At 44.2% G+C, this 12,935-nt stretch overlaps 2 protein-coding genes across 3 annotated transcripts in view; both read right to left on the reverse strand.

Moving 5' to 3' along the window:
- The window catches only part of TSPEAR (thrombospondin type laminin G domain and EAR repeats), a 213,680-nt gene that overhangs the window by 59,688 nt on the left and 141,057 nt on the right, over positions 1–12,935 (reverse strand). For both annotated transcript variants that reach the window (NM_144991.3, NM_001272037.2), the window contains one exon: positions 10,205–10,425. In NM_144991.3, the coding sequence (NP_659428.2) occupies positions 10,205–10,425 (221 nt within the window). The remainder of the gene's footprint in view (positions 1–10,204; positions 10,426–12,935) is intronic.
- KRTAP10-3 (keratin associated protein 10-3) lies at positions 210–1,215 on the reverse strand. The gene has a single exon (NM_198696.3). It carries the CDS (start codon positions 1,133–1,135, stop codon positions 470–472), a length of 666 nt encoding a protein of 221 aa, NP_941969.2. The 5' UTR covers positions 1,136–1,215; the 3' UTR covers positions 210–469.

A 12,935-nucleotide genomic window follows, 5' to 3' on the forward strand; every position in this document is an offset into this window, starting at 1 on the left:
GAGAAGCACCCCCGGGGCCTGGAGACGCTGAGGCTGGCAGGAGAACCCCACAACAGCAGACCCCGCACAGCGGGAAGTCAGGACTGCCTCCGCCCCTGGTGCTGTCAGCCTGGATGCAGCTCAAGGCCAGAGTCCCGAAGCTCCCACCCCACGCGGCACGTTGAAGTTCTTCCCACAGGGTTTGCCAGATATGCAAAAAAGACCTCTGAGAGGGCACATTGGTGACTTTATTTGTTGACAGACTGATCACTCACATGGGGCAGGACACAGTGACCACCGGCTGGCCAGCATGGAGATGAGGGTGTGGGAGAGATGCATGCCTGGAGGGAATCGGCATGAAAGCTCAGCATTGCTGGCTGGAGGTGCAGTGGCTATGGGCAGAGGAGACTCAGACAGGGCTCAGGGCTGCAAGGATTTTCGGAAGTCAGAGATGGCCCTGGAACAACTCTGGAGAAACGGGACCTGCCCGTCAGCAGCTGGACTTCTGGCCTGAGGAGAGGCCGCAGCACGCGGAAGAGAGGCGGGAGCACGTGGGGCGGCAGAGGAGGGACACGCAGGAGGCCGGGCGGCAGCAGCTGGGCTGGCAGGTGGAGGCAGGGGCACAGCAGGAGGGGATGGGCACACAGCAGGTGGACCTGCACACGGGGCGGCAGAGGAGGGACACGGAGGAGGAGGGTCTGCAGCAGGAGGTGGTGCAGCAAGCCGGCTGGCGGCTAGACTGCTGGCAGCATGAAGAGGAAGCCCCAGAGCAGACGGGCACACAGCAGATGGGCTTGCAGCAGACAGGCTTGCAGCAGACGGGCACACAGCAGACTGGCTTGCAGCAGACAGGCACGCAGCAGGCCTGCTGGCAGGGGGAGGATGTGCAGCAAGCTGGCTGGCAGCTAGACTGCTGGCAGCACGAGGGCGTGCAGGAGCTGGTGCAGCCTGACTGGCAGGGGCTGGGCTCACAGGCCGCCTGGCAGCAGGGGCTGGACACACAGCTCACTGGGGTGCAGACCAGGGTCAGGCAGGGGGCCGGGGCGCAGCAGCTGGTGGCGCAGCAGGGGGGCTCACAGCAGCTCTCTGGGCAGGCGTCCACCTGCCAGGAGTCAGAGTAAGCGCTGGAGCAGACGGACATGGTAGACGTGGCCATGCTGGGGTGGGGAGGAGGTGAGCTGGGGGAGACGTGAGTGAGTGAGTGTGGGAGTGAGTGAGGGAGTGAGTGAGTGATCGTGCCAGGCCTCTGAGTGGTCGGAACCTTTATACCCCTCTGTGTTGATTGTGCTGCCCCTGCCTGGCTTCGAGAAGCCTTCCTCTTCCTTGTTGTTGTTGTAGGCACTGTTGTGTTAGTAGTGTTGGTTCATTGTTTGTGGATGTTCTGGTTTGTGAGGCTCCTGACTGGAGTTAGGGCTTCCCTAATGTGGGCTTGTCCACAGAGATAAACTAGTAGAAATATATTGATTGCATCAAAGCACACTGCAGAAGCAGGGACAGTGGCAGTTAGGAGATATTCTGGAATTGACAGCCCTCTGCTCCATCCCAGGAGGAGTTTGCACTTAAAAAAAGACTTCTACACCTAAGGAGGGATGAGGTTAGGAGAACCTCAGTTTCTGGGCCTTGAGGAAAGGGAGAGATGTGTTCTGCTGTGGACAAGTTTGAAGATGCTCAGTTGGCCTGGCCACACGGCGAGATCCACCCTGTGGGTTGACACTGCTGGTTGTCAGTGGGAACCATGGGGCATATTTCTGCTGGGGGTGAGCCCTGGGGCAGGTGTGAGGGAATAGTGTCTTCCTGGGCAGAGATTGGCTCGCAGAGGGGAGCAGGGAGGCAGCTGCAGGCCCAGCACAGTAGGGATGGAGATGAGGGGCAAGCACCTTTGTTTCATTTCACGTTGAACTGTTATGGGGCCTTCCCCCGGTGGTGTGCACAATAGTGTTCACACCTTCTCCTCTCACATCTCGGGCAACATCACCTGCAATGGTGTCCTTGGGAGCTCCAAGGTCTCTTCCCTTATGGGCCAGAAAGTCATCAGAATGTATTAGTTCTACTGTTGGCTCCTGGACATTGTCATAGTAAATGTACAAATAAAAGGGTCTGATTGCAGAGCCTTGTCTCACAAATACCTATACACCTGTGTGTATCAGCCCATGCCTGTGCCCGGGACCATACCTGTGCGCTAGTAAGCCCCCAAAGTTCTGATCATGGATCCCTCATCTCCTCACTCTATGATCGCTATTTTCTACTAAATCTTTGAAATGGCAAAGGCAGAGGCTCTGATGATGCTCTAGGCTGCAGGGCTTTCCAAAATTAGGCCAGGGGTCCACTGAGTGCTTGGTGGGGGCCCATAGGCTGCAGGGTTTGAAGCCTCTGACCTTTGATGAGTATGGCTAAGGGCTCTGTTGGAGGACTACCTGGCAAAGTCAGACTACAGTGGAAAAATATTATTTCATAGAAATAATAGCTGGACACAGACTGGCAAATTGGATGAAGAGTCATGACCCGTCAGTGTGCTGTATTCAGGAGACCCATCTCACTTGCAAAGACACACATAGGCTCAAAATAAAGGAATGGAGGAAAATGTACCAAGCAAATGGAAAGCAACGTAAGCAGGGGTTGCAATCCTAGTCTCTGATAAAACAGACTTTAAGCCAACAAAGATCAAAAAAGACAAAGAAGGGCATTACATAATGATAAAGGGATCAATTCAATGAGAAGAGCTAATTATCCTAAATATATATGCACCAAATATAAAAGCACCCAGTTTCATAAAACAAGCTCTTAGAGACCTACAAAGAGACTTAGACTCCCACACAATAATAGTGGGAAACTTTAACACCCTGCTGTCAATATTAGACAGATCAATGTGACAGAAAATTAACAAGGATATTCAGAACTTGAACTCAGCTCTGGATCAAATGGACCTAATAGACATCTGCAGAACTCTCCACCCCAAATCAACAGAAGATACATTCTTCTCAGTGTCACATGGCACTTATTCTAAAATTGACTTTATAATTGAAAGTAAAACACTCCTCAGCAAATGCAAAAGAACTGAAATCATAACAAAGTCTACCGGACCACAGTGCAATCAAATTAGATCTCAAGATTAAGAAACTCACTCAAAACCACACAACTACATGGAAATTGAACAACCTGCTCCTGAATGACTCCTGGGTAAGTAACGAAATTAAGGCAAAAATCAAGAAGTTATTTGAAACCAATGAGAACAAAGAGACAATGTCCCAGAATCTCTGGAACACAGCTAAAGCAGTGTTAACAGGGAAATTTATAGCACTAAATGTCCACATCAGAAAGCTGGAAAGATCTCAGATCTACACCCTAACATCACAATTAAAAGAACTAGAGAAGCAAGAGCAAACAAATCCAAAGGCTAGCAGAAGACAAAAAATAACTAAGATCAGAGCGGAACTGAAGGAGATAGAGACATGAAAAACCCTTCAAAAAAATCAATGAATCCAGGAGCTGGTTTTTTGAAAAAATTAACAAAATAGATAGATCACTAGCTAGACTAATAAAGAAGAAAAGAGGGAAGAATCAAATAGATGCAATAAAAAATGATAAAGGGGATATCACCACTGATCCCACAAAAATACAAACGGCCATCAGAGAATACTATAAACACCTCTACAAAATAAACTAGAAAATCTAGAAGAAATGGGTAAATTCCTGGACACATACACCCTCCCAAGACTAAACCAGGAAGAAGTTGAATCCCTGAATAGATTATAGCAAGTTCTGAAATTGAGGCAGTAATTAATAGTCTACCAACCAAAAAAAGCCCGGGACCAGATGGATTCACAGCCAAATTCTACCAGAGGTACAAAGAGGAGGTGGTACCATTCCTTCTGAAACTATTCCAAACAACTGAAAAGGAGGGACTCCTCCCTAACTGATTTTATGAGGCCACCATCATCCTGATACCAAAACCTGGCAGACACAACAAAAAAAGAAAACTTCAGGCCAATATCCCTGATGAACACTGATGTAAAAATCCTCAATAAAATACTGGCAAACTGAATCCAGCAGCATATCGAAAAGCTTATACACCACAATCAAGTCAGCTTCATCCCTAGGATGCAAAGCTGGCTCAACATAGGCAAATCGATAAATGTAATCCATCACATAAAGAGAACCAATGACGAAAACCACATGATTATCTCAATAGATGCAGAAAAGGCCTTCAAGAAAATTCAACATCCCTTCATGTTAAAAACTCTGAATAAACTAGATGTTAATAGAACATATCTCAAAATAATAAGAGGTATTTATGATAAACCCATAGTCAATATCATACTGAATGAGCAAAAGCTGAAAGCATTCCCTTTGAAAACCAGCACAAGACAAGGATACCCTCTCTCATCACTCCTATTCAACATAGTATTAGAAATTCTGAACAGGGCAATCAGGCAATAGAAAGAAATAAAGAGTATTCGAATAGAAAAAGAGGAAGCCAAATTATCTCTGTTTGCAGGTGACATGATTCTATATTTAGAAAACCCCATCATCTCAGCTCAAAAATTCCTTAAGCTGATAAGCAACTTCAGCAAAGTCTCAGCATGCAAAATCAATGTGCAAAAATCACAAGCCTTCCTACACACCAACAACAGACAAGCAGATAGCCAAATCATGAGTGAACTCCCATTCACAATTGCTACAAAGGGAATGAAATACCTAGGAACACAGCTAATAAGGGATGTGAAGGAGCTCTTCAAGGAGAACTACAAATCACTGCTCAAGGAAATAAGAGAGGACACAAACAAATGGAAAAACATTCCATCCTCATGGATAGGAAGAATCGATATCATGAAAATGGCCATACTGCCCCAAGTAATTTATAGATTCAATGCTATTCCCATCAAACTACCACTGACATTCTTCACAGAATTAGTAACTTTCCAAAATTATTGAAAAACATTAATCTACATATCCAGGACCTCAGAAAACTCTAAGGTGGAGACACACAAAAGATACGCAAACAGACATATCATAGTAAAAATACTGAAAGTCAAAAACAAGGAGAAAATCTTGAAAGCAGCAAGAGAAAAACAAGTTATTTATAAGAGAACCATAAGAAGAGCAACAGTTCACTTCTTATCAGAAACAATGGGCACCAGAAGGTAGTATGATGGTACATTCAAAGTGCTCAAAGAAAAAAAAGTCAGCCAAGAATTCTATATCCAACAAAGTTGTCTTTCAGAAATGAAGGCAAAATAAAGGCATTCCCAGATAAATCAAAACTGAGGGAATCTATTACCTGCAGATGCATCTTACGAGTCATACTAGCGTTCCGCAGACCAAAAGCAAGTAACTCCAGACAGAAATTCAAATCCACACAGAAAAACAAAACAGCAGTAAAACTAATTATGTAATTATAAAAAGTAGTACAAATGCATATTTTCTCCTTTATTCTCTTAACTGATTTTTAAAAAGCAATATAAAAAGGTATATTTGGTGTTGTTGGGCCTATAACATATAGAAATCTAATATATTTGGCAATAATAATACAAAGGAGGTACATGGAAACAAAGCTATATCGTGCAAAGGAAGTTACTGAAGATAGTAATGTGAATCCACAGGAAAAAATGAAGAGAATCAGAAATGATAAAAAGGCTAATATAACAAATGATATAAATATATACTTGTTCTTTCTTCTCTGAGCATCTTTAAAAGCCATAAAATTATAGGAAGTAATAAGTATAACAATATATTGTTGGGTTTTAACATCTGTAGATGTAATATATATAACAACAAGACTACAAAAAGGACAAAAAGGAAAAGAGTTGTATAGGAGCAATCTTTTTGTATCTCACTGGTATTAAGTTGGCACAAATCTGAAGTTGATCTTGATAAGTCAAAATAAGTATATGGTAAACCCCAGAGCAAACACTAAGGAAAAACTAAAACAGTGTCATGGGAAAACATAAAGAAATCAAAATGCTACATTAGGAAATATGCACTTAATATAAGAGAAAGTAGTGAAGAAAGAATATAAGGACAGTGGTGACAAAAAAAACCCATAAACCCACAGAACCATATAAAACATATGGGAAATAAAAAGTAAACTAGTAGACATAAATTCAAGTACAGTTGATTTTCATTGTTAGTAGTAATTACATAAAGTCATTGCAAATACTGAATTAGGAAATAATATACCATTGTTCCTAGGGGAAATACAGAGTTTGGTTCTTGTAATCCTCTGGTCGCAGTTTCAACTATCAACATATAGTCGAGTGTTATATATGTTTAATAATTATTGTTTATTCATTAACATTGAACTCAGCCAACAGTACTACAACTTATGCCTTAACAAAGCTTCTCTAACATACATATTTTCTCTGTAAGGCACATCACAGCCTTTTTGCACTTAGGAACACTGAACAGCCCCTTCACCACCATGCCTGAGGGCCATTTTAAACAGTAAAGTCACCCAAAAAATCACAAAAATGTGAAAATGTGGCATTAAGTAGATTACAAAAAAAAATGCTTATTTACAATATGAGAGCTGAAGCAAGAATGCAGAGTGTGCCTTGTTCAACCTTATCTGGGAACATGCATTTTGGGAGACTCAAATTTCTCACTAATCTGTGCATGCCAATGAATGACCACAAAAGTGCCACCAGTATTTGAGATTACAAATTAATTTTAGAGAGTAGCTGAATTTGCAAATACAAAATTCATAAAAAATGAGGTCAACTGTATATCAATAACAACATTAAATGTAAATAGATTAAATAACCCAGTCAAAAGGCAGAGGCTGTCAGACTGGATTAAATAAAAAACAAGATGTAATAGATACTCTGTAAAGTAGGCATTCTTTATATTGCAATATACAACTAGATTGAAAGTAAACAGAAAGAGATAAACTATACAAACAACAACCATGAGAAAATTGGAGTAGCCCAACTGCTGTCCGATAAAATAAATTTTAAAACAAAAATTGTTACTAGAGATTAAGAGGAACACTTTATAATGATAAAAGGTCAACCTATCATGAAGGTATAATAAATATAAACATGTATGGAAATAATAAAAGAGCACCAAAATACATGAAGCAAAAGCTGACAGAAATGAAGGGAGAAATAGACAAGTCAACAATATTAATTGAATAGTTCAACACCGTAATTTCAACAAACGGATAGAATAACTAGGTAGAAGATCAACAAGAAAAAGGAAAACTTGAATACAATAAACCAATAAAGTCTAGCAGACACCTTTAGACTGTTCCCACCTGATGACAGCAGAATATACATTTTTTTGAAATGCATATGCAGTATCGTCTAGCATAGGACATATGTTAGGCCATAAAATAAACCTCCAGTAAATTTAAAAAGACAGAAATAATGCAAAGTATGTATTCTGGCCACAATAAAATAAAATTAGAAATCAATAATAGAAAAAAAACTGGGGAAACACACAAATATGTGAAAATTAAACAGCACACTCTTATATAACCAACAAACAAGTCAAAAAAGAAACCAAAAGGAAAATCATAAAATCATCAAGATGAATAAAAATGAAACCCAAAATACCAGAACTTATGAGATGCAGCAAAAGTATTGCTTAGAGAGAAGTTTATAGTTGTAAATACCTGTATTAAGAAAGATCTCAAATCAATAACCTAACCTACTTTAAGATGCTGGAGAAAGAAGAGCCAACTCAAAGCAAGCACAATGAAGGAAATAATGAAGATTAAAGTGGAAATAAATAAAGAATTAAAACCAATTCTTCACAAACCCTTTCAAAAACTAAGAGGAAGTATTACTTCCTAACTCATTCTATGAGGCTAGTATTAGTCTCATACCATAATCACACAAAGACATCATAAGAAAAGAAAACTACAGACCAATACCACTATCTCTCATGATATGAACGCAAAATACTCAACAAGATACTAGCAATCTGAATCCAGCAACATAAAAGAAGAGTTATACACCATGGCTAAATGGGATTTATCCCTGGGATACAAGATTGGTTTAATATCTAAAAATCAATTAATGTAACACAACACATCAACAGAATAAAAAACAAAAATAGCATGATTATAACAATAGATGCAGAAAAAGCAGTTGATAAAATCCACCATCCTTTCATGTTAAAAACACTCAATAAGATAGAGCAGGAAACTTGCTCAATTTGTTAAGGGCATCTATGAAGAATCCACAGTTAATATTATACTTAGTGGGAAAAAATAAAAAGCATTCATATTGGAAAAGAAGAAACAAATCATCTCTATTCACAGATGATATAATCTTATATATAGAAAATCCTAAGAAATTCACTAAAAAGCTGCCAGCTCAGCAAGGTTGCAGGATACAACGTCAACACACAGAAATCAATGGTATTTCAGGCCAGGTGTGGTAGCTCATGTCTGTGATCTCAGCACTTTGGGAGGCCCAGACCAGCCTGGCCAACATGGCGAAACCCTGTCTCTACTAAAAATACAAAAATTAGCTGGGCATGGTAGTGTACACCTGTAATTCCAGCTACTCTGGAGGCTGAGGCGGGAGAATCGCTTGAACCCAGGAAATAGAGGTTGCATTGAGCCGAGATTGCACCACTGCATTCCAGCCTGGGTGACAGAGTGAGACTCTGTCTCAAAATTAAATAAATAAATAACGGTATTTCTATATATTTGCAATTAACAAGCCAAACATGAAATTATTTATAATAGCATCAAAAAGGAAAAAATACTAGGACTAGATTTAACAAAATAATTATAAAACTTATACTCTGAAAACTATAAAACATTATTTTTGTTTTGTTAAGGAAGATGTAAACAATGGAAAAGCATCATACGTTCATTAATCTGAAGTCCATGATCCACTCATGTTAATATTGTTAACATGACAATACTCCCCAAATTAATTACAGATTTGTCCAATCTCAAGCTAACTTCTCTGTAGACATTCACAAGTTGATTATAAAATCAATATGTAATTACAAGCGATCCAGAATAGCCAAACCAAAATTTAAAAAGAGGAACAAAGTTGGATGACTCATAGTTCCCAATTTAAAGATTTACTACAATAAATCTTGGTTACTACAGTAACCAAGACTGTGTGGTACAAATATATAAATAGACAAATGAATGAATAAAGTAAAATTGAGAGTCCAGAAATAAACCCACCTATCTATAGTCAATTTATTTCTCACAAGGTTGTCAAGACCATTCAATGAGGAAAAAATAATCTCCTTAGCAAATGGTGTGGGGGCAACTGAATATCTATATACAAAAGAACAAAATTGACCCCCTACCTCACACCACATACAAAAATTAAATGGATTGAAGACTCACATGTAAGTACCAAAAGTATAAAACTCTTAGAAGAAAACATAAGGGTAAATCTTCATGACCTTGGATTTGGCATTGGATTCTTGGATATGATATCAAAAGTACAAGCAACAAAATAAAAAAAATAGATAAATTGAACATCATCATGGTTTAAACATTTTGTGCTCCAAAGGGCTCTACCAAGAAAGTAAAAGGAAAACCCACAGAATGGGAGCAAATATTTGCAAATCATATATCTGATAAGGGGCTCATCAAATACATAAAGAATTCTTTATAACTGAGCAATAAGTCCATTAATCCACGAAAAACTGGGCAAAAAATTTAAATGAACATTTCTCCAAGGAATATGCACAAATAGCCAGTACACACATGAGAAGTGCTCAACACCACTGTTGGAAATGCAAATTCATTTTTATTTACTTCAGAAGGACCTGCTGCACAGATATGACGTGCACTGTCCCAGAAACCGTGGGGAAGGGGACAGAGACAAACATTACTGTCTTCACCTTCCAAACTAGTAGGCAGAGGATGGGATGGGGCTTGTCTGTTAGATTTGGGATTGATGGCACTTCAAGTCTTAGATAAATGGGTCTACAAAGTGTCCCTTTTTAGATGTGATTTTATTGTTAGCGCTTCCTGCCAAAGGATGTCAACATAAAAACTCTGAGCACTAGTCCCTCGATTGCAGGAATTGGCTGTGCAAACCACTAGCAAATGGTCACACAGACTCTCACATACTGCCAGTGACAGGGACCTCACTACCTAGCAAGGCCAGCCACTCTTGATCCCAGAGAAACCCAGAGAGTCCTTGACAAATGCCGCCCCTCAACCTGTGCACGCGTTGGTACTGGGAACCTCACAAGGGAAAATTACGCTATTATAACACGAAGTGCAGAAAGTGCCACTGACCTTGGGTGGAAGATTGGGAACTCTCAAAGTTACGACGATGGAAAATTCTTCAGGGAAGAGGTCACACTGGGAGAAAATCCTGGATGCTGGGAAGCTCATGGTGCGGGGGGCGGCTACTGAGAGCTGGAGTCCCCGTGCACCGTGAACCTGAACTATCCTGATCCCGCTTGTGGCGCCATCAGAAGGGACCACTTCCGCCAGGATGTCCAGGGGGCGCAGGTCTGTGGCAAAGAAATCACAGGTGGGTTAGGCCAGGACACCCCCAAAAGTGGATACCCATAACAGCCAACATGTATGGGGCATCAGCGTGGCAGGCACTTTACATAGCACTATAGCCCCTATGAGCTGTGAACCAAGGTTATCTCTGTTTCAGTGGTAAGGAAACAGAGGCACCATGAGGTGTGCCCGTGTGGCCTCCCCCCACCCCTCCTCCTGCTCCTGGGGGATCTTGCACGGCTGCCTCTGAGCTGCAGGTAACATTCCACCCATGGCTGCTGTTTTCAAGTCGGCAGCCAGGCACTGTGCAGGGTGAGCTGTGCGGGACGAAGGAAGGAACGCATGGCCCCACCGCAGCCACGGGAACCCCAAAGGAAACGCAGGAAGCGGCTGGGAATGAGACCAGGCAGGCCCAGGCTCCTGTCTGCTGGCCTCCCTTGGGTCCCTGTGCTGCCCTTGGGTGCTGTGGGAGGCTGGAGCTGCCATGGAGCTGGCAGTGCCTGCCCCTCGTCCCCCTCTGGGCGTGCCAGGGGAGTGGATAAGCTCCTGGGGAACCTGGGATTCAAAGTTGGTGGGAACATAATTGATGGGCTGGCCTGGCCTCCTCCGAGGCCAGGTGACAGGGAGGAAAATGGGAAGCATGGAGGGCATTCGGGGCTAGCAGAGGGCTGCAGATCAGATCCCTGGCCCAGGCTGAGTGGCTGGGAGCAGAGCCTGAGACTGATGCCTGGACCCTCCTCAGCTCGGCCACTGCAGCTGGCCCCAGCCTGGGTAAATGCCAGGGCGTGGCTGAATGAAGCAGGTGTTCCTGGAGCTGTCTCCCTCCGTCTGGCAGTCTTGCTGAGGGGCCTCCTGCCTCAGCCTGGCATGAGGGTGTTGGGTCAGTCCACTCTGGCACCCTCTAGGGTTCATCTTCCCCCACGTGCCCATCCTGGCCGGCATTGTGTAGGGAATGTCATGGATTCTCTGTGAAGGCCCCGGAAGGGCTTTGGTCAAACATCTCAAGCAGAGGCCTTCCTCCCCCGCCTGCCTGCACGTGGCAGGGCCCCAGTGAGCAGCTGGAGAGCAGGACTCCACTCCAGGCCAGGAGAAGGCACAGCCCTTCCTTGCACCGCCACGTGCATCGCAGTGCCACAGCTGCAGTGAGACTTCGATCCTCTGTGTCCTCCAGAGAGTGTGAGCACCTGGGATGGAGCAGTTCTGCAGAAGAGCCTACCCTGGAAAAGCATCCTGGTCCGCACACGCGCACACAGGGTGTGAAACGCAGGGTGTGATGGGCACTTCTTTCTTAGAAAAACCGGATGTGATGCAGCCGTGCACGTCCGCAAGTGTGCACACAGGGTGTAACGGGCACTTACAAAAACCGGATGTGACGCAGACGTGCAGTGCAGGAACAGCCGGCAAAGCAGCCGTGAGCACCCTGGCTGCAGGACGCTGCCTGGGCCTGGCCCAGGCACAGAGTGGGAAGATGTGGCAGGACACACCATGGGCCAAGGATGGAAAGGATGCAGAGGGTCCTGGCTGGGGCAGGGGTGTGTGTGTGTGTGACCCACAGCACCAGAGAGTTTGGGGACATGCAGATGGAGGGAGCACAGTGAAGAAAGTGTGGCCTGCTTTAGGACAGGAGAATGTATTATTATTGTTACTATTTATGCAATTAAACACAAAAGGTAGAGTGTGAGGAGGCTTTGCCGCTTCTTGGAAAGACCCTGAGTTATAAAACATGCCACGACATAGGGACAGCAACAGTGGACACTGTGTGTAGAGAGGTCTGTGTACAGGGACCACCCCCGATGGAGGCTGCTGTGTGTGTTTAGGGGGTCCCAGGCTGACTCTGGGAGGATTCTGGCATCTTGGTGTGGGGGGATTCTGTGCCTCAGGGCTCTGATGTTGGCCCAAGCCTCAGGCTGGCGGAGGTTGGGGATGAGACTCCACATACTGTGGCGTTGCGTCCTGGGTCCCCTGGAAAGAATGGGTCTCTAAGTAAACCCCATGCACCCTACTGCCCCTCCCCCCAGTCTCAGAGAGACACTGCTGCACAGCACTGCCTGGTGCTGGGCTCACCCCTGGGGGTTTAGCTTGAGCACGACCAGGGGCCACCTCCTCAATGAGGAAACGTGGGGGCCACCATCCAGAAGGTGCCCTGCCCAGCACTCAGGATGAGCCTCTGCCCTGCTGAGCCCCGGGATAGACAGTCAGCCCATCGCTCGCTGGGCTTTGGCAATCAGGAAACAGAATCCTGACCATCCCAGCAAGAGCCTCTCCCTCCACTGTTTAATTAAAATAGCCTCTTCCTGGCTCCGGACCCCACGCCTGCAGTGTTGTGTGCCTCTCAGCCTCCTGGGAGTGGACACCCAAGGGCAGATGAGTCCCTGACACAGCCTCGGCAGTGCTGGGTGGGGGCCTCTGGATGTTGACCTGCCCTCACAGCCACCTTGTGGGGCATCCTCCTTGACTCTATCATCGGTGAGACATGGGTCCAGAAGCCAGGAATTATGGAATTACAGAAGGGGCT

Source organism: Homo sapiens, chromosome 21 (genome assembly GCF_000001405.40).
Source record: "Homo sapiens chromosome 21, GRCh38.p14 Primary Assembly".
NCBI classification, from domain to species: Eukaryota; Metazoa; Chordata; class Mammalia; order Primates; family Hominidae; genus Homo; species Homo sapiens.

What these genes read in the sequence shown, in the direction of transcription:
- KRTAP10-3 (NM_198696.3), bottom strand. Translation starts at nt 1,135, where the DNA reads ATGGCCACGTCTACCATGTCCGTCTGCTCCAGCGCTTACTCTGACTCC.